Source organism: Homo sapiens, chromosome 3, assembly GCF_000001405.40.
Source record: "Homo sapiens chromosome 3, GRCh38.p14 Primary Assembly".
NCBI lineage: Eukaryota > Metazoa > Chordata > Mammalia > Primates > Hominidae > Homo > Homo sapiens.
The window spans coordinates 188,298,791-188,326,356 of NC_000003.12; the positions used below are offsets into that span (position 1 = coordinate 188,298,791).

The 27,566-nt window shown below is 38.8% G+C and overlaps 1 protein-coding gene across 57 annotated transcripts in view; it reads left to right on the forward strand.

Annotated features, from left to right (window-relative positions):
* The window catches only part of LPP (LIM domain containing preferred translocation partner in lipoma), a 737,651-nt gene that overhangs the window by 145,770 nt on the left and 564,315 nt on the right, over positions 1 to 27,566 (forward strand). Inside the window, exon 1 of one of the 57 annotated variants that reach the window (XM_047448100.1) lies at positions 1 to 27,495. The exons of the other annotated variants lie outside the window; for them this stretch is intronic. Within the exon in view, the coding sequence (XP_047304056.1) occupies positions 27,445 to 27,495 (51 nt within the window). The 5' untranslated portion in view covers positions 1 to 27,444. The remainder of the gene's footprint in view (positions 27,496 to 27,566) is intronic. 57 annotated transcript variants of the gene reach the window in all.

Genomic DNA, 27,566 nt, shown 5'->3' on the forward strand with positions numbered 1-27,566 from the left:
ATCTGTTTCTTTCTACCCCAGGCCCATTCCCATCATGAGTATTTATTCTGCCCAGTGTGGGATGGGTTCTGTTCTAGAAGTTTGCATGAGCAGAGGGAAGCTTAGCCCCATGAGGCCAGTCATGAGGCTCCATCTTATTCTATAGGCTTCAGCCTTTTTATGAAGACCTAGCTTCTACTCTTGCCCCAGGCCCTAAGCAGGCCCAGACTTTTCCCATATACACACACTCTCTCTCTAACTTATGTGTCTTACATCTTAATAAGGCAGCAGATTGTATCAGAATCAGTTAACTCTTTATCAAAAAACCCAGAGCAGACAGACGGGTGAACTTGCTCATGGGCTGAGCTAGAAGGGAGGCCACTTTTCCTTCACACAGCCTCGGACTCTCCCTGGGCTTTTTTGTGTGTGCTGCGTGGAGACTGTGTTCTAACATTTCAGTCATATCTTCCTTATTTTAAAACTACAGAATTGATCTTACCAACTTACTGGGGAGCACGTCGTCAGTAAATTCTAATGGAAAAACCTGTCTGATCAATGGGACAGGAAAGCGTCACAGCAATACCGGTGAGTCATTCCAAGACCAGGCACATTTGAGCTGTGTTGCTTCTTCGATGCTGACTATAATTCTCCCTCAGCATTACGTCGTCTTAAGCAGCTTTTGAATCTTCGTCTCTGATTCCCTTTCTAGGTCAGACTGTGTCTTTTTTTAAAATTGTGCCTGGATATCCCCTTAATAGGTTGGACAAGTCCCGTTAGGATAATTGGCTGTATGAATATGCGAAAATAGCAACAGTGAATTTTAAAGTTCTTGAATAGTCTCCCCGTCCCACTGTGAGGTGAGGCATCTGGGGTGGGCTATCTGTTTTTTGATTCTTGGTTCTTGTTTTTAAAAAAATAGGATGTTGGACCTTGGGATGAGAGGGAAGTAAAACAGTTTTGGAACCCTTTTAGAAAGCAAACTAAGACAAAACTCCTTTCTTGAGAAAAATGGATGGACATTGTAAAGAAGACAGTAGGGCACCAGGAAGCCTTGAGCCAGGTCTGCCTGTGTCACATTTCGAGTTATGAGCTTCACCGCTCTGCTGTCTGTCTCTGGAGATCATCATCAAACCCCTTTCTCTGAGTTGTTGAATGGCTCAGATGAGTTAATGCCTATGAAAGTACTCTGTAAACAGAAAAATACCTTCCTATTTGTAATCTCAACAAAGGGACTTTTATCATCCCTAAAACAGAACAGACATTTCTTTTTCAATTATGAAAGTTACATAGACTCTTTTTAAAAAGTTAAATGCACAAAAGTATGATGAAAATTAAAATAACCCTAATGAGTCCATCATCCAGGGACATCATTGTTCTAATTTAAACATTTGGGTAATCTGTTCTCTTTTTTTAAGAAGGGTTGTGTGTGTTTATTTTTTTTCTTTTTTTGTGTGTGTTTGTGTATATCTATGTGTATTTTTATTCTGTTTTCTTTACATAACACTGTATTGTAAACATTCCCAAAATGTAAATTTTAATCATTGCATAATATTGCATTATCTGATATATGCACATGCATTTTGAGATTTTGTGACGAACGATTGTGACTATTGTTTCCATAATTAAGGGTTAGCTGCTTACCAAGAAAGGAACTTACTTTAAAACATGGCAGGCACACTTGGCCATTTTTTTTTTTTTTTTTTTTTGGCAGTAAAGGAATTTGAAGTATCCAGTTTTTTAAATAAATTAATATGTATTGAATTGGAGTTTAGCAGTACTTTTAGTTAAGATCTCAGTTAAGGTAAAAAGGTCAGACCTGTAGAGTTATTAATTTGTAGAAAATTCTGACTACAGCAAAACATATTAGCCCAAGTTCTCTTTATTAATAAAACATTAGTTACAGAAATACTAAAAAATAGATTGGTTGGTCTCCTGAATGTCCTGCGTTAGGTAAGTTGCCTTATGCCATCTGGAAGACTTTTTATTTTCTCTTCATAGAAGGATACAATAGATTTGTTTTGCTCAAAGAGTTCATTTTCTGTTGCTGGGCACATATATAATACTGTAAACACATTTCTGGATATGACGACATAATGATGAAGAGAGACCTTTGAATATTTTCTTAAATGAAGATTGAAGGAGTAGTAAGCTGTGAGAGGAGATTTTTCTACTATTTCAGTCCTAAGATTGATCTTTTTTGTCATGGATTTATCCCTTTGTCTCTATGCATTTCTATGTGTCTGCTCAGCATCTTATCTTCTACATTTGCCCTAGTTCCATCCTTCCTTTTTTCCATGCTTGTTTTTCCATACACCTGCCCATCCACCCTCCTGCCTCTCTATCCAGTCGTCCGTCTAACCATTTCTGGCAATTCTTACCTCCCTGTTTCATGTATATCTCTCCATTTTTACCTGTCATTTATATTTATCTATTTGCCTATCCATATCTACACCTGCTTGTCTGCTCACTGTCTATCTATAAAGTTAATGGAGATGATTTTGATGAAAACTTATGAATTTCTTTATTGCATTTTACACTGTGGGTTACAGGGGCCAAAGGCCATGGGGACCAGAAAGTGGAAATAACCAGAGCTCGGCCATTTTTGTTTCATTTCAAAATCAGGAGGGAAGGTCAGAACTAACCTGATTATCCTTTCTGTGATGCTAATCAGGATGTTCTTAGTATAATGCCTTTTGGAGACTGTTATTTTAAGGAATGTTTTGCTAAGAATCAGTTGCCAGGACATAGAATGAAGAGCTATTGTATAGCTTCAGAGTAGTTCTCTTTTAAGAAGGATATAATAAATTAAAAATAATTTTCTTGAGGTCAGACTAAGGAAAAGTCAAAGATATACAATTGCCATCTCTCCAAATTTATTGATTTTATTTATTTATTATTTATTATTATTATTATTTGAGACAGAGTCTCACTTTGTTACCCAGGCTGGAGTGCAGTGGCACGATCATAATTCACTGCAACCTCAATGTCCTGGAGTCACTGAAGCCTCTCAAGTACCTTGGACTACAGTTGTGTGCCACAATGCCCAGCTAATTTTTTTTGTACTTTTTTTAAAGACAGTATTTTGCCATGTTGCCCAGGCTGGTGTTGAACTCCCGGGCTCAAACTATCTGCTTGCCTTGGCCTCCCAAAGTGCTGGGATTATAAGTGTTAGCCACTGTACCCAGCCCAATTTACTGACTTAAAAAAAAAGAAAAAAAAAACAACAACCCAGAACATATTGTAACATTCTCAGGGAGTTTAGAGACAACATAATGAAGGTATTTTCAAGGTTTGGGGAGCTGCTTGGAACTTGATTTTGGACAAAATGGAAGGAAAACAACCATCCTTTACTGAAAACCATTTTTCTTCTGATTCTGAGAAAGCTGCTTTGCATTTACTCTCTCGTTTAATTCTCCCATCCTTCCTTCAATGTAATTTCTATTATCCCAATTTATAACTAAGAAACAGAGACTCAAAGAGGCTAAATGATTTGCCTAAGTTTACATGATTAATGAGTGCCACAGTTTTTGTGGAACAGAGACTTGTTTGAATCTAAAACTGTTACTCTTTGCAGTAAACCACAATGAAACCTTAGCTATATATCAGTTCTCCACTTTAAATTTTATGGTAACTCAACCTCTGAAAAGGATCCTGCAAATAGCACAGTTTTCAGTTCTTTTCTTGAGAGAAGGCAGGGCTTTCATATGGACATGATAAAGAAGACAGCTCTTAGGATGTGGATATAAGATTGCATTTATGAACTTTACTTTAGTATTTGACAGAATGGGGTTTTCCTCACATGCTGCTGTGTGTTTTTGTTTAACCTAATCTGAGTCTCATTAGGCAGCTTGATCCAGAAGACAGAAAGGTCTCCTCCACAAGATGCACCTTATGAAGCAAACAAACCAATGAAATGCAGTAACTCCCTTCAAACTTTTGTAAGCTCTGGAAAGCCAGAAAAGACAGCTATTGTAATATATTTTGCCAGGCCAGCTGTTATCATCACAAACAAGCCTGAAATAGCAATGACTTTTGAAATCACAGCACATTTATTTACTTCTTAACTTTTCCATAGGTTTGAAAGCTTGCTCCCTCCCTTTTTATCATGCTAAACTGTAGTTGCTAACAACATTCTATTCTGGGTGGGAATTAGCTTTGGCATAATTAAGAATGGAGATGGGGGTGGATAAAAGAGGTTCTGCCAAAGGACTTGTCTTATATGATTTTATTCTTACTTTTAATCTGTTTTATTCTTTAAGCATGTATTAACTGCCTACTACGTACTCAACACTGTGCTATGTGGGAAAAATATACTAGAACAAGGGATGGTCAACTTTTTCTGTAAAGGGACAGATGGTACACAGCTTAGATTTGTGGTCCATAAGGTGTCTGTTGTAGCTACTCACTCTGCTCTTAGATAATACACGAAACACTCAAGACTCCACCATAAACAATACATAAATAATTGCGTGTGAATATGTTCCAATAAACTTTTATTCACAAAAACATGCAGTAGGCTGGATTTGGTCTGCGTGCCACAGGTTGCCAGCACCTGTACTAAAATGTCCCTGAAAATAGAGAACTTTGTTTTGTTCATTGGCTGTGTCACCAGTGCCTAGAGTAGTACCTGGCATGGGATAGGTGACCAGTAAATATTTGTTGAATGAATGAACTTATAAATGAATGAATGACTCAGACTCCTTCTCTGATCTCTTCTATACTTAAAGAGAGTACAAAGAACTGTGGGAGGTAAAAGGTACTTTCCTGGAAGAGAGAGTGTGGAGGGTCATGGAATCAGTTGGTATTTGAGCTGGACCCTGAAGAATAGGTAAGTATATGTCACCAGCGGTGGTAGGAGAAGCACACTGCAGGTAGGAGAAACATGCAAATAGGATAAGAAGCAGGGCACTTGTGGTGAATAATGAGGAGATCAGATGTTTTATAACAGGAGTTTCCTGACTTGCTTGATCTTCAAAATCACCTGTTATTAAAAATAGGTTCCCAGTACCCTCCCTGGAGATTCTGATTTTGTAAGACAGGGTTGGCCAATGATAATTTACAAAATAAATATTTGAAAAGGTGTATGGCTTTGGAAAGTTATACTGGAACCATTTCTAATGGGAAATAAAGTTCTCACTTTTCTTAGTAAAAGGACTAGTATCAACTAGTAATTGCTGGACCTATAATTACCCTATACCTTCTGTGCCATAGAATGGAGGAAGTGCCCTGGCGGAAATCTACCCTACTTAACTGCCTGTCTTCATACGTCCCCTGTTGATGTTGTAGGAGTACCCCAGCCTTTATGATGGAACAGTGTGTAATTTAGTCAGTAAATTGTAGTCATATAAATTATAATAAATGTATCAAATTTGTAGCTACTAGCTTTGTTGCTTTTGAATTTCTGGGTTGGCAAACCTCTCAGAGGGCAAATAGATTTAAATGGCGTAATAGAAAATTTGCATTCTCTTGCTGTACCTCCAATTCAGAGTGTAGTGTAATGCCCAGATTTGTTTGTAGACTAAGATCACTGGAAGGGCTGTATAGTTTAAGCCTCTTTTTTAATAATGGGGGGAAATCTGAAGCCTAAAAGGTGGGCAGGGACTTGCTCAAGTTCTGTCACCAAATTATTTTGGCAGAACCAGGAGTATAATGCGAATGTTAAGTTACTAAATTTAGTTTTCTTTTCATGGTGCCATGCCACATGTATCAATAAAGTTCCTAATTTACATACTTTCTCTCCCCTTTAAATCTCACAGCTTTTTGCTCATATACCTCTTGTGTACTGCTTACCATAAAGTTATATCTTAATATCTTATCCTGAACGAGTAGCCCACTGTTATCCCAAATAAAGGCTGAGCTCTGTTTCCCTGGAGAGCTTAACATATTTCCTGGCACTTAGCATGTGTTCAGCAAATAATTGTAGACTTGAAATATCTTGAGCATCTTTTCTTTTCCCATGTGTTTTGACTCAAGTTCCTTTGCAGTTATATTGTCAGAAAAGTCAAGCTCTTCCAGAATTGCTGAAATACAAAGATAATTTCTCTTAAGCTTCCTTAAAAAAGTTGAATTCCCTATTATGGCTGAGACCTTTCTTAACAGCTCTTCTGATAGTTAAATGTCAGTTGCTTCAAAAAAGAAATGTCATTAAATTATCAGGGAAATAAATTACATATTTATTTGGGCTGAAATATTTTAATTGACCACTTAAAATAAAGATAATAGCAAAAGACTGATACATTTCCTAGCTTGCACATTTCTCTCAATTGCCAGGACTTTTTTGTTTATATCTCTTAGGAGATTTCATTTTTATTTCTTCTGCATTATGGTTATATATGTGCTTTTGACTCTCCCAGTGGGTGATAAGTTCTTTGAAGTCAATGTACTTAAAAAAATTAATCTCTATATACCCACAAAGCCTAGCTCTGTAGGAGCTAAATACTAAATATATTTACTTTAAAAAAATTGTTAGGAAAAGGTCAGTGTTACCTTGATTTCAGTGTTATTTTGCAGCCCTCAAGTCAACAACCATTTTACTGAACATCCAGCTTTGTGCCTTTCTGTGAGCTTAACATTGGTAGCAGGTGTGGATTGGGACATAAAAAAGTAAATAAAACATAGTTAAGTTGACATAACCCATAAGTATAATGTGATGTGGAAATCTGAGATAGGTACAAATAACCTGTACTAGAATCTGGAGGCAGGTTAATTCTGACAAGGTGAGTCCAGAGAGGCTCACAAAGTGTCAATATTTGAGATGAGTTTTACTGGGTCTTGGTCTTCTATTTCAGTTGCTGGTTTTGATTTTTCTCAACGCAACACACACACAAACACACAGATACACACACACACGCAAAGTGATTTGTTTTCTTTTTATAATCTCTTTGACTATAGACTTAAGAGAACTGCCTTTATGTAAGATTAAAGGAAAAGAGGAGCAGGTTTTATTGTGTTATTTGAAGGTTTTTCAGAGTCTGAAACACACAGCGACCGAAAGTATTTGGGATGGATGATGCCAGTAGTGTCATGAAACAAAGTACGTTGGCCAGAGAGAGACATATACTATTGTAAATTAACGGTGTTCTTTTCCAAGGATTTTCTCGTTTACCTGTTGTTGTCTTCAATAGTTTAATTACACTAAATATTCTCGTTGGTGCGGGGAGCATAGTATGGTGGAGGAAGTTTCAACTTTGAAGTCAGACAGTTCTGTTTCTGTACCTAACTTTTCACTTATTGTATATGTGACTGAAGGCTGTTGCTTATCCTCTCTAGGGTTGTTTCTTCATCCTTGAAAAATGTTGTGTTTTCTTTTTCTTTTCTTTTATTTTTTTTGAGACGTAGTCTCACTCTTTCACCTAGGTTGGAGTGCAGTGGCGTGATCTCGGTTTACTGCAACCTGTGCCTCCTGAGTTCAAGCGATTCTCCTGCCTCAGCCTCCCAAGTAGCTGGGATTGCAGGTGTGCACCACCATGTCCAGCTAATTTTTTTTTTTTTGTATTTTTAGTAGAGACGGGGTTTCACCATGTTGGTCAGGCTGGGCTTGAACTCCTGACCTCAAATGATCCACCCACCATGCCCTCCCAAAGTGTTGGGATTACAGGTGTGAGCCACCGTGCCTGGCCTGAAAATTGTGATCATGGAAAGTACCTCACAGAATTGTGGGATGAATGGAGCTAATGTTTGCAAAGCTCCTATTTCAGTGTCCAGGATATGTTAGGCCATATGCCTACAGAGTCAGGCACATTTTCTTGAAACACAAAGCCCTTTATCTAGCTTAACCTCTTCCCACTTTAGAGTCGTGGGTGCAGGAAATATTTTGTTTTCCTCTTTACCGTAAGGAAAGTAACAGTGCTAGTGTGTTGTTGAAATGCCATGCTCTGGGCATGTGTTTGGGGAGAGAGATGCAGTGCGTGGTGGGGAATGGGAGGTGCTCAAGAGGGCATCCTCTCTGAAAGGGGTGACAGCCGCTTGGCGCTAGCTAATTATTGCCACGTGGAGATGCATCATTGCCAGATTTTTATGTAAACTCTTTGGTTTTTAAAATGTTGGCAGCTCATTCAAGTATTTTTAAAGCACTATGAGAGATACTTCCTCATGGAAGAAGAAAAATGCAACTTACAATCTTACTCAGTAGCATCAACTTTGGCTCAAAACAACAACAAAGCACGTTGTAAGTCCACACTGCAAATGGCAAACAGAACCCGTCTAAGGACCAGATTTGGCCTGCAGCCCTCAATTTGCATCTTCTGTGCATATTTTTAACTGGTAGAGATAACAGTAAATGATGGCAAAACTTACTGAGTCCTTTGCATGTGCTAGAAACTTTGCTATACTTTGCATATATCATTCAATTCTCACAATAACCCAAAGAGGTGTCTATTACTATTATTATCCCATTTTACAGACGTGAGCATTGAGGCTCAAGGAAATGAAGTATCTTTCCTGAGGTCACACAGATGAAATGTGACAGGTAGCTTTGAAACCAAAGCCTGTTCTCTTTTAAAATCATACATACCAGTGGATCTCAGTCCTGGTGGTATGTTAGAATGATTGGCGTGCCCTTAAAAACAGTGTTGTCCAAAGTCCACCCCCAAGCTCATTAAATCAGAATATCTGTGGGTGGGACTCAGACGTGGCTGTTTTTTCGAAAGCCTCAAATCAATGATTAGAAATAGCTGTAAGATAGATAAAATTTGTGCCTCCACATCTGGCACTACCTATCTCCTGTACTCTATTTTATTTTTGAGTATTTATTGTTCTCTGAAAATTATGTGCATCTTTACCTGTTTATGAATTTTCTACTTTTACCACACTGGGATGTAAGCTCCGTGAGCGCCAGGATTTAGTCTTTTTAAGTTGTTTGTTGTATCCCCACCTAGGTCAGTGCCTGGCACATAATAGATGCTCAGTAAGTATTTACTTGAATGAATAACTGGTTCTTCATCACAGGGAGCTTACACTCTAGTGAGGGAGATAGATAATACATTCTTAGTCCTATGAGATAAGCTCATAACTGGGATGTTCAATATGACTTTATTAACACAGGGAATACAGCTGATTATCTCTTAGACATTGTTAGGATAAATTGTTTCTATACGTATTGAATGGACTGTGGGGCATTTTTGGTCACCTGCACTACTACACTGGATCCATTCTGTGCTCTGGGGTGTAAGTGTGTGTGTGTGTCTGTGCGTGTGTGTAATTTCGGGAACGGGTAACACATTCGTATTACCTCTGTTTGGACACGATTTTTAGTGACAGAGCTAGGAATAACAGGTGGAACCTTCTAAGTTTTGTTGCTTAAATATCAGGCCCCCTCAGAATTCAGGACTGATGGTAGAGGATTTACCAGTTTACAGGGAATTCAGATATTCTCTTCTCTTTCTAGGAAAGCCAAATTGTTGGTCATTCTGCCCCCAACATTTACAGAAGCAGTTTCTCGGTTTTATTTATCCAAGATTCTTATGATGAATAGTGTTAATATCGCAGCACACTATGGGCTGTGATATGCCTATATCACAGAGAAGGCAAGCTGTGGTGAAGTGGAATAAATGAAAAACTGTCTATAACTCTGCTTCTAGATGCCCCACTTAAGCAAGTAAATGGGAATGTGAGTGACAATATCATAGGGATAACCTTGAAAGAGTGCTAGTTTTTAAACAAAAACAAATCATTTGGAACGTTAGGATTTAAACAGTTACTGATAATAAATTGCTTGTGACCCATCTGAAAATTGATGGATCATAGTGATAGTGAAAATATTTAACAACTGCTATGGCCCAGGCACCGAACAATCGAAACCAACTCCAGTGTAAACAGTGGTGCCATCAAGTATGCGCTGGTTGTCAGCCTTGCTGGTGGAGTCATTGTGTCACGATGAAGCAACTAAGAGCCAGTGCTGCACAAAGTGTTGAGAGAAACAAACAAAATCCAGGGTGCTCCCCTTATGCGGAGTAGAGAGTAGATAGAGCCTTGTTTCAGAACGATAAAACTTCGGTCAAGGACTTGATCTTCCCACTTATTGCTGGGGGCTCCAGGGCAAATCATTTGTTCTTTCTGAGCCTGAGTTGTTGTTTCTTCTTGTTCTTCTTGTTCTTGTTCTTGTTCTCGTTCTCGTTCTCCTTCTCCTACTCCTTCTCCTTCTTCTTCGTCTTCTTCTTCTTCTCTCCTCCTCCTCCTCCTTCTCCCTTCTCCCTTCTCCTTTCTCCTTCTCCTCCTCCCTCCTCTCCTTCTCCTTCTTCTTTTTCTTCTTCTTCTTTTTTTTTTTTTTTTTGATATGGAGTCTCACTCTGTTGCCCAGGCTGGAGTGTAGTGGTGCAATCCCTGCTCCTGCATCCTCTGCCTCCCAGGTTCAAGCGATTCTCCTGCCTTAGCCTCCTCAGTATCTGGGATTATAGACGTGCATGACCATGCTCAGCTAATTTTTGTATTTTTAGCAGAGATGGGGTTTCACCATATTGGCCAGGCTGGTCTTGAACTCCTGACCTCAGGTGATCCACCTGCCTTGCCCTCCCAAAGTGCTGGGATTACAGTCATGAGCCACCGCACCTGTCCGGAGCCTGCGTTTCTTCTAATATACAGTGGAGGAGAGTAATTTTTGCATTACCTACTTTGCAGGCTCTGGAGTTAGATTGAGCGCACCTGAAGCTAAGGTTAAAGATGATGGCTATGGGCATGATGACAGTAATTGTTCTTCTCTGGTTGGGGACTGATTGATGATCCCTGATTTCTCTGTTTAAACGTTGCCCAAAACAAAGGTTGAGAGGTCCTTAGGGGAGAGGCGAGATAAGCAGAGGTAGGACTTGCCTTTCTTCTGTGCTTCTCCAGAATTAGTTGTGTCCTGTGGCATCCACAGACAAAAATTGAGCAATCTCCTTCATAGTTGAGATTGTATAATTCGATAAAATAGGTTTAAATAGCCTTATGCCTGTATAATATTCATGAAAAGTGTCATGAGTGAGGTGGCTTGCTTGTTTTGAAAATGGGCTGATTTTGACAAAGGGGAAAAATCGGGATTCATTTACTGTAAGTTGAAAGTAAGAAACAACAAAGTTGAATATTAGAAGAACTTGGCTATCGCAAAAACCACATACTTTCACATCAGTAAAACATGGAGTTCTGATCTGAGTGAAATGTGAAACTTCTTGCAGACCACAGAGAGTAAAAAGGAGTACTTTTGTTTCATTATTAATACCATTGTCCTTATTTCTTTAAATGAGAATTGATAATACCCATAACAGAATCTTTCACACAGGCCAAAAACAGAAAGATAAATTAAACAAAACAAACAAACACCCAAAACCTCACCACCACCACCATGACTGCCAACAAAACCCAGTGCTGTGAGGATGCATCAGCTTTAAGATCTCTTTAAGTCATTGTGTTCTAGAGAAAGGGGTTCTTTATTTGTTTCTATCAGGATAGAGTGAGTTTTTGTTAAAGTTGTCTTTCTTTTTTTTTTTTTTTTCTTCTTCTGGAAGACTGACGAAGTTGGCCTTTTGGGATATTACAAGAAAGATAACTTTGTCTTCTAATGTCTGCAGTGATATGAGGCAGGTGACTGTGTGTATTCTGTGGTGATCCATGTTCACAAGGAGAGACAGGCCAAGGATGCCCGGTTGATGAGTGCGCTATAGGTGCTTGGGAGTGAGAAGGCAAGAAAGCAAAGTGAACTTAAAAAATAGCTAGCCAGTGGAATTGAGGGAGAAATGCTCATTCTTTGCTGACACATGAAATAATTGTTGAGGGAGAGTTGCTCAATCTTTGCCTACACATTGAAATAATTGTGTTGAAGAGTCTATGAAAAGGGGGTCAATAGATTTGAGTTTTCATCACTTTGGCCACCACCTAATTATAGATGGCCTCCACTGTGAAATATGTGAGTTGAAATAGATTTTTTTAAAATTCATTTTCTGGACTGGCATTTAGAATTTGAGTTTATTCAATCCTTGCTTCTTGGGCAGTTAGGGTGTCAATGGCAATAGGAAGGGTAGCTGAGGCCAGAGTGGTGGGGGTAGATGTTGGGTGGAATGTGTGTGGTTGAGCAGAGCATTATTATTATTGCTATTATTATTTTTTAAAAGAATCCTTATAGTAAAGAGAGCCAACATTGATTGAATATATGTTCCTTGCCAGAACTTGGGCTAAGTGCTTTATTATAAGTTATCTTATTTAATTTTCACAGAGACCTGTTGAAGTGTAAGTTTTAGCTTTCTGTTTCACAGCTGTGGAAACTGAGGTGCTGAAAGGATGAAGAACTTCCAAAAAGTCGAAGATATTAAGCAGCTGTATTAGTCTTCAGATCCTGATATCTTTCTCATAGTTATTCTGATATGCCGTATTAAGTTGCAGAATTGAGGCCGGGTGCAGTGGCCCCAATTTTTTTTTTTTAGTTATTCTTATTTTCTAATTATTTTATATGCTCTCTCTCTCTCTCTCTGTCTACTGTCAAATCCCGGCACTATGGGAGTCTGCAGTGGGAGGATCTCTTGATGCCAGGAGTTTGAGACCAGACTGGGCAACATAGTGAGACCCCATTTCTACAAAAAAATGAAATAAAACAATTAGTTGGTCATGATGGTGTACACCTGTAGTCCTAGCTACTCAGGAGGCTGAGGCAGGAACATTGCTTGAGAGTTCAAGGCTGCAGTGAGCTATGATTGTGCTGCTATACTCCAGCTTGGATAATGGAGCGAGACCCTATCTCTAAACTAAACTAAACTAAACTAAACTAAACTAAACTAAACTAAACTAAACTAAACTAAAAGTAAGATAAAATAAACTTACGGAGTTGGAACATTGCAGGCTATCTATCTGGCTTCCCTGCCCTGAATTCATCGTTCTCTTTGATGTGCTATTGTCCAACATTTCTTTTTTTTTTCTGTTTTTTTTCTGTTTTCTGTCTTGCTGTCACCCAGGCTTGAGTGCAGTGGCCTGATGTTGGCTCACTGCAACCTCCATGTCCCGAATTCAAGCGATTCTCCTGCCTCAGCCTTCTGAGTAGCTGGGATTACAGGCACCCGCTGCTATGCCCGGCTAATTTTTGTATTTTTAGTAGAGACAGAGTTTCACCATATTGGCCAGGCTGGTCTCGAACTCCTGAGCTCAGATGATTCTCCTGCCTCGACTTCCCAAAGTGCTGGGATTACAGGTGTGAGCCACCGCACCAGGCCTTTCCAACATTTCTTTAAAGAAACTAAAAATTAATTTGAATAAGTAACACAAAAATATAGTTTAAACTATAGTATAAAATTCAAAACTATGCAATGACAAGTACATCTTTATTTTATCTCTTTACTTCTCCCACCCAGAGGAAAGTATAAGTTCTTTATATATCCTTTTAGAAATAAACTGGGTATAAATAAGCATGTGTATACACACACACACAGAAACACACACACAAACACACACAGATATGTATTTATATTCCAGTGTATATAAATACATTTATATACATGCCATTTATATACACATTTGCATTTCTGTTATTAGCGACTCTAAACACCATTTGAAATGAGCCGTACCCATTTGTAATTCCGTTTTCTGAACTGTCCTTCACTTCCTTTTCCATTGGATTGCTGAATTTTTGCTTATTGATTTATTACAGTTAAGAAAATTAACTTGTAGTCTGTGACAGGAATTGTAATGCTTTACCATTTTGCATTTCTTTTTTAACTTGCAGATTAAAATAAAAAGTTTTATATAGTTAATCCTTTTTTGATTTTATGTTTCTTTGATTTTGTGTGATGCCTAGAAATGCCTTCCCCACTTTGTGATATTTAAAAAGAAATTTCCAATTTTTCTTCTAGTTATTTCTTCTGCTCTTTCTCAAATCTTTGAACCATTGAAATTTTATTTTGGTAAAAAATGTGAGGTTAGGATTTATTTTGATATTTTTCTGGATCTGCATTTCTAAACACTGTTTATTGAGGAGTCCATCTCTTTCACACTGATTTGAAAAGCTACCTTTATTGTATATTAAATTTCTTAATACTTAAGTATTTAATACTTAAGAACACCGTGGAATACTATGCAGCCATAATAAAGGATGAGTTCATGTCCTTTGTAGGGACATGGATGAACCTGGAAACCATCATTCTCAGCAAACTATCGCAAGGACAGAAAACCAAAGACCGCATGTTCTTACTCACAGGTGGGAATTGAACAATGAGAATGCTTGGACACAGGAAAGGGAACATCACACACTGGGGCCTGTCATGGGGTTGGGGGACGGGGGAGGGATAGCATTAGGAGATATACCTAATGTAAATGACGAGTTAATGGGTGCAGCAAACCAACATGGCACATGTATACATATGTAACAAATCTGCACGTTGTGCACATGTACCCCAGAACTTAAAATATTAAAAAAAAGAAAAAAAAAAGAATTTGCATCTATTTTTAGACTTTCTGTTCTATTCATCTGTCACTTCATGTGTCATTATTATGCTTTCAATTATTGTAGCTTTATAATATGTTTTATTATCTGACAAAGATTCCCCATTCCTATTAGTTTCTCTTTTTCAGAAAATTTCTGGCTTTTAATGCCTGTTTATTTTTCATTGACCTTTATAATGAACCTATCTAGTTCTGGCTGGGCGTGGTGGCTCACGCCTGTAATCCCAGCACTTCGGGTGGCTGAGGTGGGCAGATCACTTGAGGTCAGAAGTTCAAGACCAGCCTGGCCAACATGGTGAAACCCTATCTACTAAGAATACAAAAATTAGCCAAGTGTGGTGGCGGGCACCTGTAGTCCCAGCTACTCGGGAGGCTGAGGCAGGAGAATCGCTTGAACTGGGAGGTGGAGGTTGCAGTGAGCCAAGATCCCGCCACTGCACTCCAGCCTGGGTGACAGAGTGAGACTCCGTCTCAAAAAAAAAAAAAAATAAAATAAAATAATGTAAAAAAGTTCTGTTGATATACTTATGAGGTTTGCTGGGTTTATTTGTTAGCATTACATGCTATACATTGTAAAAATGTTGATTCTTTTTCTTGGAATACTAATGCCTTTCCATTTGTTGAAACCTTCTTTGATGTTCCCAGGAGCACTGAGATTTTTCTTCATGTAGACCGTGCCTGTTTCTAATAAGTTAATTTTGTAGATATTTTCTACTTGCTCTAGTTAATGTAATTATTTTCTATTTCATTTAATTATATGTGTGTGTGCCTCTGTGTTTGGGGTCTGGATTTCAGTACATTGATTTTCTGCTCAGCCACTTTACTGAATTGTCTCATTATTTGAATAATTTTAGATAAATTTTTTTTGAGTTTCTAGTTAAGTAAGTATATTATCTGCCAATAATTTATCCTTTCTTTCCAATTTTTACAACACTTATAGCTTTCTTCTAACTGTACTAATACCTCTAGAATAGTAAATATTAAATAACTGTGGTTGAGTAAATGTCCTTCTTTTGTGTCTGAGTTTAATGGGAATGCTCATAATGTTCCCTGTTACTAGTGACATTGGCTTTCGATTTGAGAAATGTATTGTGTTGAAAAGTATCCACACTTATTTTGATAGTGTTGTTATTGTTGTTGTTTTAATTGAGACTGGTTGTTAAAAGGTTATCTAGCTTTTTTTTTTAAAGAAACTTTGAAAGTAATCATATATTCTAAAAAAATTTTATGTTTTTCTCTTTTGTCCTGTAAATTTGCTGTAATATATGAATAAAATTTTCAAACATGAAATCTTGTTAGTATTCTTGCTAAAATAATTATCAACTTGTTCATTGTTTCTGTATTATATATTTTTAGTGTTGCTAGATCCTAGAGATCATTAATATATTAATGATCTGTGCTTCAATTTTCATAAGTGAGATTATTTGAAAATTCTGTGTGTGTGTGTGTGTGATCGAGACCATCCTGACCAAAATAGTGAAATCTCGTCTCTAATGAAAATACAAAAATTAGCTGGGCATGGTGTCATGCGCCTGTAATCCCAGCTACTCGGGAGGCTGAGGCAGGAGGATCGCTTGAACCCGGGAGGCAGAGTTTGCAGTGAGTGAGATTGCGCCCCTGACTCCAGCCTGGCGACAGAGAGAGACTCCATCTCAAAATAAACAAACAAACAAACAAGGAAGCTTTTCTTTTTTCTTTATTTTGAAATAGTTTGATAACATTTACATGGGTTATTTCTTTAAAATATGGTAGAATTCCCTTGTGAAAATACCTTCACTTATTGCCTTTTTTGGAGTGAAGAACGGAGTGAAGAAAGTTATTTCTTTAAAATATGGTAGAATTCCCTTGTGAAAATACCTTCACTTATTGCCTTTTTTGGAGTGAAGAATGTGTTTGCTCTTTAAAATTTTTTACATTTTTTTTCTGTAGTAATTGGACTAATTAGCTTTTATATCTATTCTGTGATTACCTTTGTTAAATTATAGTTTTTTTAGGGAAGTCACCTATTTCAAATTCATTTGCATGGTGTAAAATAATTTCTCATGATTGTTTTCATTTCCTCTGTATTTATGGTTATATTTCACATTATTATTTAAAGTTTTATGGATTTCTGCTATGTGTATCCATCTTTCTGGCTAAAGCATCAGAGTTTAATTTATTATTTATTTAAAAAATAGCTTTTGCATTTATGTGTTGGCTCTACCACTTTGTAATTCTTTATTTTCTCTTTAAAATCTTCAATAATACCTTCTACTTTTTCTAGGTTTATTTTGTTGTTTTTCTCATTGTTTGAACTTGGCTCTTAATTTCCATATTTTTATTTCTGCTTTTTTATTCATATAAATAAGATATAAATTTTCCTGTAAGAGATGCTTATTTGTATGCCTTAAGTTTTGCTAAATAGTGTTTTTAATCTTATTTTTTAGTTATTTGACTATGCACAGGTTCTTAAAATCCCAGACCCATTAGAATGTAAGCTTTGTAGGGACAGGAACCTTGTCTGTTTATTTATTTTGGGTCTACCGTTGTGCCTGTCATATATTTCTTAAGCACTTGCTAATGTGCTTAAGAAATGCTTTTGTGTGAATAAATAAATCTCCAGGGAATTATGGAATTTGTGGCTGATTCAGTCCTGTAACTCTAGTTCGTTTCTGCCTCATTTGGATATTCTCTCTAGGTATCTACTAATGTGTAGGAATAAGAACATATTAGACATGCTTCAAATTACCTTTTTAGGTCATGATATTAATAGATTTATTTTAAAAGTCTACATAGTTTTTCTCAAATCAAGTATACCTGGGTAAAAATGTCTTTCTAAAGATTAGCCTGTCTGGGCGCGGTGGCTTACGCCTATAATCCCAGCACTTTGGGAGGCCGAGGCAGGCAGATCACCTGAGGTCAGGAGTTTAAGACCAGCTTGGCCAACATGGTGAAACCTGATCTCTACTAAAAAAATACAAAAAAACCAGCCAGGCATGGTGGCAGGCACCTGTAATCCCAGCTACTCCGGAGGCTGAGGTAGGAGAACCATTTGAACTCAGGAGGCGGAGGTTGCAGTGAGCCAGGATCGTGCCATTGCACTCCAGCCTGGACGAAAAGAGTGAAACTCTGTCTCAAAAAAACAAAACAAAACAAAAAAAAGATTAGCCCAATCTATTTCTAGCTACTTGGGAGGTTGAGGCAGGAGGATCACTTGAGCCTAGAAGTTTGAGGTTACAGTGTGCTATGATCATGCTACTTCACTCCAGCCTGGGTGACTGACCAAGACCCTACTGGAAGAAAAAAAAAATAAGAATTGCTCAAGAAAAAATACAGTTGAGTAGAATTAGAATGCTAGCAGTGTTGCAATAGCAGAGATCACATGATGCCCATGATGTTTGTGACCTTGGACACTTTAGGCTAAATTTTGCACAGAAGCCCAAGTCCAGGATAGAAATGATAACGATGAACCTGCTGTAGTGCAGGGAAAGATGCAGAGCTGGGGGGAAGCCCAAACCCCTACTGATGGCCACTTTTTCTTCTGACCTCTTCCTATGTCTCATTTAAAAACCAGTAGCTTTACTTCGAAAACTCAATTTTCAGATGAGAATCAAAACAAAAATGCAAAGAAGGCAAATGATTCATAAAAGTTGCTGAGTGAATTAGAACTATAATGTGGGACAAACACTCCGCCTTTCTGTCTCTGCAGCTAGTGGTATTTCCAGGTTCCCAGGGAACCTCCTGTCCCTTGCTCCACTGTGCATTTTTAGATGGACCTGATATTTGGTTACCTCCCTTGTCAGGCCCAACAATCCTTGCTAAGGCACAGACTTGTGTATTTGCTGATCCCTGAGGGGAAAGCTGTGATTCAGGCTCTGAAGTCTAAGAATTGCAGACTTAGTTTCTTGTCTCCCGATGAAACTGCTAATCTGGGTGCCAATGGTGTTTCTGCTACATGGACACCTGCCCACACAGCATGATTAGAAATTATAATGATGACGACGATGAGTCTTCCAGGACACCCACGTTCTTTGCAAGATATTTCTGCTAATCGTTTCTACCAGAATCAGTTGGAAAACTTTTTTTTTTAAGTTTTTTTTTTTTCTCTGTATCTAAGTCAACCAAAAATGCTGGTCTAATTCAGGTATAGATTAAAGGTTTGTCCTCACCATTAATGGTGTGTTATTATTCATGCAGGGCATCCTAGAACCTTGGGCACATAGTGTAATGGAAAGCACGCTGGGCCAGGGAGATGTGGATTCAGGCTTGAGCAGTGCCAAAAATTTTCGTTATGGCCTTGGTAAAGGTGATTTCCCATCTCTGTGACTTTGTGTCTCCTTCTGTTAAATGGGCATTCAAATCTTTTGTACCTAACTTATTAGGGCCCTGATAATCAAATTAGCCAATAAGTAAGAAAATGTTTTCTTAACCACACTGTAAATTAAGAGGATTCATATTGAAATCACTTTTCCATTATTGCTGTCTTAGCCTGCTAAAGTTATATTTAGTGTAGTGCAACTAAGCAGGGTTGTGAGAGCTGGGAAGGTAGACTGTTGTATTGGGCAGGGTCAGGGCAGATAAAGGACCAAAATAATGCCTGAAATGCTGTATTAACCTGCTCTACCTTGAACTGCTGTCTTGAATTGGGGGGAAAAATGAAGCTCTGAGGGGATGGTGCACAGGGAGAAAAGAGAGAATCTCAGGAATTGAAAGTCTCAATGGAGAAGAGGTGGGAGAAGAATAGGAGGCTAGAGTGAGGGCATGTGATCGTGGAGTACCGATCTGGAGACAAGAGAAGAAAGTAGAAAAATGCCAGCACTGTCTTTGGACCCTGTGTATCTGGAGTGTGGGAGGACAGGCAGACACAAATAGAGAGGCTCTAGGGAAAACAGCATTCTCATAGAAGATCCTTCTCCACAAAAAGCCCTCCAAATGTCCTCCAGGAGGGTAGAAGCTGGTTTTAAAGCTCCTCAGGGTCAGGAAGATCCTTCTCTTATTTTTCTTTGCATCGTGCAGTTTAATTTAGCACAGTACTTTGCTCACAGCACTTAAAAAATTATTCTGGGCCTTGCTTTTTAATTTTAGGCCCAAATACCTGAAAAAATGTTCAGGAGGAATTCTGATAAGAAAGAGCTAACTTAGGCAATTCCATTTCTTTTTTTGGTTCACTGTTTCCTCATCTGAAAAGTGTTGGGCTCCATGACGTGGTTTCTATGACACTCAGTACCTTTGTTGAAGAGAAAACATTTTTCTAAAACTAGGATTTCCAAAAAAACAAAAAAAAAAAAGAAAAACAAAACTCATGAATATGTGGATATTTTTGTGATAGTGATGAAGGTTTGGGAATGGAGTAGAATGTTTCCTAAAGTCCTTTTCTTTTAGCAGAAGACTTGAGTTTGTAAACTCGGCTCATATAATTTCAGCTTGCCTGTCTACCTTCCTTCCATCTACCTACCTACCTACTTACATAAGTACCTACTTATATATGGAGAACACGGTGGAATTTAATTTTTCTTATTCTTTTCGACTTTGGTTGGCTTGGTGAATCAAGTAAACTGTGTTGAAGAAAAACTAACTTTTGAGGGAAAAAATTGAAAAAAAATTATGATTCTTTTTTTTTTTTTTTTTTTTTTTGAGACGGAGTCTCGCTCTGTCGCCCAGGCTGGAGTGCAGTGGCGCGATCTCGGCTCACTGCAAGCTCCGCCTCCCGGGTTCACGCCATTCTCCTGCCTCAGCCTCCCAAGTAGCTGGGACTACAGGCGCGCGCCACTACGCCCGGCTAATTTTTTGTATTTTTAGTAGAGACGGGGTTTCACCGTTTTAGCCGGGATGGTCTCGATCTCCTGACCTCGTGATCCGCCCGCCTCGGCCTCCCAAAGTGCTGGGATTACAGGCGTGAGCCACCGCGCCCGGCCAAAAATTATGATTCTTTGAAAAGGATTTTTCTCAGGTTAGTTTATATAGTTTCACAGATGCTTGAGATAAGGATTAGAAAGTTCAGACACTGAATCTCCACAGACCCCTGTGAATGTGTTGGCTAAGCACCTTGTCTTCTCAGGAACACACACTGGAACAGACTTTCTTTCAGTAAAACAGGGCCAGAATAGTCTTTGAAACATCCAACGGTGGTTTGGGAAGAGGATTCTCTATATAATGCCTGTCCAAATACAGAATAAAAATTTTCAACAATTAGCAAAAATGTGGATTTTTCAGTTACCAATTCCTTATTTGGCACAGTTGGTCTTTCTCATCTTATTCATTCATTCATTTATTTCATTTTATTTATTTACTTTTAAAATACTTGTTTAATTCACCTTTCTTGCTCCCATTGAGCCTTTTAACTAATCAAATGCATTTGAAATGCTATTAATTTATGATAACAGTAAGACCCAAGACATCACTTTATGTAATATCTTGTATTGTAGTTCATTGTTGTCAGCTCTTTTTCTGATGGGGTTTTGATTTAGCTGGAGGCAGTTTAAGGGTGTTCATTCCCCAATAATGTTTGTCTGTTGAAGCTGGTGAGCTAGACTAACAGTACAAAGAGTTCCTGTGTACCCTTCACCCAGCTTTCCCTGATGTTAACATCTTATATAACCAAAGTATGTTTAAGCAAAGAAATTATCATTGGTGTAACATGACTAAAGAAGTGATTATATCTTTTATTGGCAGTTTTCCAGTTTTTCCACTAATGCCTTTCGTTTTTTTCCTAGATCTAGTTTAGGATGCTGCTGTGCATTTAGTCATCCTGTCTTCTTTGTCTCCTCCTGACTGTGGCTATTTCTCAGCCTTTCCCTGTTTTTAGGACCTTGACACTTTTTTAGTGTAACGGTCAGGTATTTTGAAGAATGAGTGTCTTGCAACTTGAGTCTGACTGATGCTTTCTCATGATTAAATTGGGGTTTTAGATTTCTGGGAAGACCACCACAGAGGTGAAGTACGCTTCTCATTGCTTCATATCACAGCGTACATGATGTTAATGTGAGTTATTACTGGTGATGTTAATTGTGATAGTGGCCAGTTTTGTTTTATTTTATTTTTTAATAGAAGACCAGTTGTCTGGGACTATACACACTCCAACACATTTGCAAATTGGTGGCAATGATTATTGACTAGTCCTCAAACTACTAACTTCATGATAATGGAAAGCCGAAACTCCCAAATCACATGGACCTCAAAGTTCAATTAGAAAATTTGGTTAGGACCTGACGACAATGTTGCGATTTGCTACAGCCTGCCCTGCAGTCTCAACTCTGGGGTCCCCTCAGTGGTGAGCTCAGTCACAGTGCTGCTTCTGTGTATACTTACCCAGTAAACAACCCAGGCATTGGGGCCTGTCTCAGAAACCACATCTCCAATAGAAAGGAGAACACTTGGGAAAGCAGGAAGGAGTAAGAAACGGAACTCGCCCATTCCTGACAACTAATCCTTTTCCTTTCTAAGTATGGCTTAGTGGATGTCAGCCATTCACTGTTCAGGACAGGATAGGGATGAGGAGAGAATTCTTTTTCATTTGACAAGGACATTGAATTTTCCTTATCCATGGATCAAGACTAGAAGGTATGGAGAGGAAAAGGGCTTCTCATCTCTTTCTTTCAGTAGCTTCATGCACTGATGCATCGTACTTACTGAATGTTTTACCTTCTCTGTGCTCTTCTCAGAGGATGCACAGAGGATTGGGAAGAGGAAGTATTGGTGACTTGATCTAGAAAAAAGAGATTGTTTCAAGCCACAAAAAGTTTGAGGGTAAAATCTCAAGTCCTGTGTGTGATGAATCAGTAGAAAAGGTATCCCAGTGGCCAGTGTGAGTAAGCTGTCATATTTTCGGTAGTAATCCTTGGTCCTGTTTGATTTTCCTCATCCTCACATATAAGATGGAGCCATTTCTCCCTCTGGCGTTTGCCATCACAGTGTCCTGCAGTCTCTTGGTCTTGAGATAGAAGGTTGAGAGAAACACTTTGCAGTATTGGGAGAACTGGGTCTGCCTGTGGGAGTACTTGTATCTCAATCAATATTACAGAACTTGGCTCCTTGTTTCCAACAAATGTTTTGCTCTGTTCTCATCCTGGGAGTTGAAGGTTGAGGCGAGGTGGGAGATGTGCTGTATAATATGGCAGCCACTAACCACATGTGGCTGTTGAGCACTTGAAAGGTGGCTAGTGCCACATGTTGAAAAATAATATTTTGGATATATTTGTAAAATAATTTTTTTCAATGAGCCTTTTGAAATGTGGCTACTAGAAAATTTTAAATGGTGTATGTGGCTCCTATGATAATTCTATTGGATGGTGCTGGCTTAGAGCCTGGGAAGAACATGGATCAGAGTCAATTGACCTTGTGTTCTCCCCTGAGTTCTAATAATATTGTCATTAAAAGGAGAAGCTTCAACAGCCATAATTTTCATTTTAAAAAGTCTAATTCAGAAGAATTGGCTCATTTTATATTATTGCTTGGACTGGAGAAAAATCTGACATTTGGTATTTTCATAATTGAGAACATAACTTGCTGACTTAAAAAAAAAATCACAACATTTTGTGCTTGGCCTTAGGTACCAGCCTTTGAGCTCTTTGAAAATAGGGATTGGGTCTTTTTCTCTTTCTACCATCCTTTTTCCCCCAAAACCACACACTAACACGTAGAAGATGGTTAACTGGCATTTGTTGAAAACCAAAATAACTTTAAATAGAGAAAACTTTGTGAAGCTACCTTGTATTTATGGTTGGAAGAGTGAAATACCTTTATAAGGCATCCCATTTTCTTAAGATAGCCAGCAAAAATGAAGAACATTGATCCAAGTGTTTATTTACTTATTGATTTAATTACCATTCTCATCAGGTGTCCCTGTCATCTCAGCTTATGATAAGGAATCTTTTCAAGATGCTTCACCTCATCACTCTCTAGGTAAAGGGGGACAGAAAAGGATGCTGCTTACATATACGAATCCCCATCTTTGCTCAGATATTATGTCTAAGGGCCTAAGGACTGGATAATCTTATTTTTTCTGTGGCTTGATCCTTTCCAACATTTAATCTATGGAGGTTGTGAGGATAACAATGAAAAGGCAAGTTTAAGCTTGGACTGTAGATACTTTTCACTGGGTGGTTTTATTTTATTATGCTTCATTGTGAACCAGAGCCTCTGTGAACATATGACTTATAGGCCCTCAGGCTTCCACTGTGTCCCTTTCCCTGATTCGTCCTTCTTCACTGCATGCCCTGGTGTTGGGTGAGGGAGCAGGCTTTATGTGATGTCATTTTCTCAGAGCCCTGAGCTGGGAAATTCAAGAGTCTCCATGATTCCTAGTTAGGCATGGAAGAGACCCTAACTGGTCCCTCAGGAACATGTTTGGTTGGTCAGAGGTAACTCTTATAGAATCTATGATGGCTTAGTCGTTCACTCTTCCTAGAAAAGACCTCTTTAAAAAGGCCTTTTGGTTATATACGGCCTGAGTTTTAAGTAATATTTGCAATGTTGATTCTCTGGTAGAAGAGAATGAAAAGTTGTGAGTGCTCTTGGAAGAGTGCCGGACAGCTGTAGTGATGGGAAAAGTATTGGCCTTGGAGTCAGACCTGTGTTTACTTCCTGGCTCTGCTATTTTCTAGTTGTATGACTCTATGCAAGTAACTTCTCATCTCTGAGCATTAATTTCTTCACCTGTTTGACATAGACAATGTCTGCCTCACAAAGTTGTGATATGTTAATGTATGTGGGATACCTATCTCAGGACCCAATACTTAGTCTTTATAAAACACTAAATGAATTGGTTTTCTCATGTATGTCTTATGGTTTTGCTGGTGATGGACCAATAGTCATCTTCCATCTTCACTTTAGAGGTGGGGGAAAAGGGCATTAGAGTGATTGTGTGGTAAAATCCACTCTAATTCTAGCTGTGAGAAAAAGAGCGGTGAAAATGTGGTAAGCAATTGCTTCTAAAAAGCTTGGACTAAAAGCGCTTGATGGATTTGTGCTGGCTTCCCGGTAGACTCATCTCTGTACTGCCCGCACAGCACAATTAATTGTTGTTACTAGAGAAGGAACAAATAAAGAAAAGAGAGAGAGCAGACATAAAAACATCCTTTCATCTTTCTGAAGACAGTCCCCTTTGTCAGATCAGTGGAGCTGTACCTGTGAATCACCTTGGGAAAGCACAGTGTGGGTAACTAGAAGGAAGGTCTTGTGGCTCATTTTGTACCCACTTCCTGGGCTGGGGAAATATCTAAACTAACCTTTCTTACTTGTCAATATCTACTACCGTTCACCATGCATCTTCACAGATGAGGGCCTCTTTCTCACATCTTCACTCCAAACACATTACTGTGTAGACAGCCACTTATTTTCTGGGAAGAAAACTTTGCAAAGCAGTAGCAGAATAAAGTCGAGGGTAAACAGAGGCCATGGAAAAGCACTAGAGTTTGAGTGCAGAGACATGAGTCTGAGCATGAGCAGTGAATAGCTCATGAAACACTCAAGTTGCATTCTCCTTATGTGGAAATAAAATAAGTCATGGTTGTTCTATGCACGTGGCACCTGACCTTGGGTCCTTATTGCTATGCTGCTAGAGTCTATGAATCAAGATTTGCCAGTTGTGATCTTGAAATTTAGTCAGATTAAAAGGGAACTCTGACTTTGAGGGTGAATGCCCCAAGTGGGCATCTTATTCTCCTATGGATTCAGCTTGTTAGGCAGAATGGAAGTGGAGGTCATAGATTTTAGGGTTTTCTCCTGGGATTGAATCCAGCTGAAGCAGGAATGATTCTGGGTGAGCTATATAACGTCTCTGAGCATTAGTTTGTCATTTTCTTACATAGGAATAGAGTTATTGCCAGATTTGGAGATAGTACATGTTGCAATGTGGTTGACACAGAATAAGCTTTCAATAAATGATTGGTATTGTTGTTGTTGTCGTTATTATCTATAACTACAATAATTTCCCTAGCCTTATTTTATAGGGATAGGTTGTGGCAACATGAAATGTGACTTGGAAAACTGATTTGCACTAGATAGATAGAAACCATGTTTTTCTATCTATATAATGAACAATGTCATTTAAGAAAGCTTAGAGGCAATTCCACCAGCACCATCTTCTTTTTTATTTCCATTCCTAGATTATTTGCCCTCAAGTCTTTGGTAATTTCTTTTTGCCACATCTCTTGAATGTTTCTTCTTTACTATATTCCATCTATTATTACCATAAGTCCAACGTTCATCACCTCCTGCTCCACTGTTGTTCCTGTCTCCTGGCTCTCCTAGAGCCTTGGTTCTCAAAGTGTCATTCACAGAGCAGCAGCATCACCCGAAATGCGTCATCTCAAGATCTACCAAGACCTCCTGAAGCATGAGGCATGTTCACCCCCGTGTTGTAGGACCTCCATATAACTCATTTAACTACTTCTCCTGCTCAGAGTACATGCTTGGCCAGTGCGTGTTTGTTCTGCCTCCAGAATGTTTTCTGACTCTGATTGCTATCATTACTTCTTTTGAATCTACCTAAATTCAAGTTACCATCCATTGCCATGACTATGGCAATAGTCTCTGAAATTGTCTTCTACTTTTATGGTTTCCCCTTGTGGCCTTTTTCCACACCATCTGGAGAGATCTAAAATTGTTGGTCAGATCATATCACACCCCTCCCCTTAAGCCATACGGTGGCTGCTGTAGTATCTGCAGAAGGTCCCTGACTTATGATGGTTTGACTTACAATTTGTCCACTTCACACTGAGTTTATCTGGGTGTAACCAACCCCATAGAAATCAAGGAGCATCTGTAGAAATGTTTGAAAGGCCCTTTCATGGCCTGCAAAGCCCTGTGAGATGACTCTATGTTCTCTCCTTTTTTTTTCTTTCTTTATTTTTTTTGAGATGGAGTCTCGCTCTTGTCTCCCAGGCTGGAGTGCGATGGTGCGATCTCGGCTCACTGCAGCCTCCACCTTCTGGGTTCAAGCAATTCTCCTGCCTCAGCCTCCCGAGTAGCTGGGATTACAGGCACCAGCCATCACGCTCGGCTAATTTTTGTATTTTTAGTAGAGATGGGTTTTCACCATGTTGGCCAGGCTGGTCTCGAACTCCTGACCTCAGGTGATCCACCCGCCTCGGCCTCCCAAAGTGCTGGAATTACAGGTGTGAGCCACTGCGCCTGGCCTCTCTGCTTTTTTCATACCACTCATCACTTTACACAGTAATCTGTAGACACACTGACCTTCCTTTAGCCCTCTGTATAAGCCAAGCTTTTTCCCACTTGATCTTTCTCTGATTCTGTGCAAAACTGGCTTGGAAGTATCTTTCAAGGCTTAGCTCAAATGTTAAAGCCTTACCTAGCTCTTCCCCATTCTTTAGCTAAAGTAGCACACATACCCCCCTCCCCATCATTCTTCTGTCATTATCTTGCTTTATAGTCTACAAAGCATGTATGGTTCTCTAAAAGAGTGATTACCATGCTTTTGTTTTCTTTATGTACATTGCAAACTGTTTTGGTGAGAAATATTTTAGTAATAATAATAATGGTGAAGATTTAGTGAGTGTTTGCTATAGGCTAGGCACACTGTATGGTAAATTAAATAATTTAATAGATCATTTATTTGGATTATTTCATTCTATTTAGCTGATTATATATTTATATTTTTTGTGTTCCTCTTGTTTTAGGATATCAGCTTCTTGAGAGCAGGGTCCATGTTTGTTGCATCTGTATCTCCGCCTGTAGAAGATTCTCTGGCATAGGGATTTTTGTGCAGGAAGTGTTTATTCAGGAACTGAATGGATCTCAGAAGATTATCATTTGGGAATAGATCTACATGACAAGAAAGAACAAAGAGTCTCTCTCATTCTTTTTCCCAGATATATCCCGGGAGAAAATACCCTCGACTTTTTCTTATCTTTAATCTGAGAAGGAAGCAGTTGTTGGAATCTGATTTAGGATTGGCTCTAGTGGCCCTGTGTGCAGACACAGATCTTGGGATTCATCTGACCATTTGGGGAGAGAGGTTCTTGAGGGGCACCTTGATGATAACGAGTCTTTCTAAAGCTTTAAGTTTGGCGTTTGAGGTGGTTGGAAATACCAGGTCTTCCGACTTTTACGTTCTTTGTGCGCACGCTGGTGATGTGCGTATGTGAACCTTTATTATTATGGACTCAGCCAGCAGTAACCATGGTGAGTAGACCTATCACACAGCATTTTTCTGAGTCAGTTTAAAATGCTGACAATTAAATATACCGTACTCT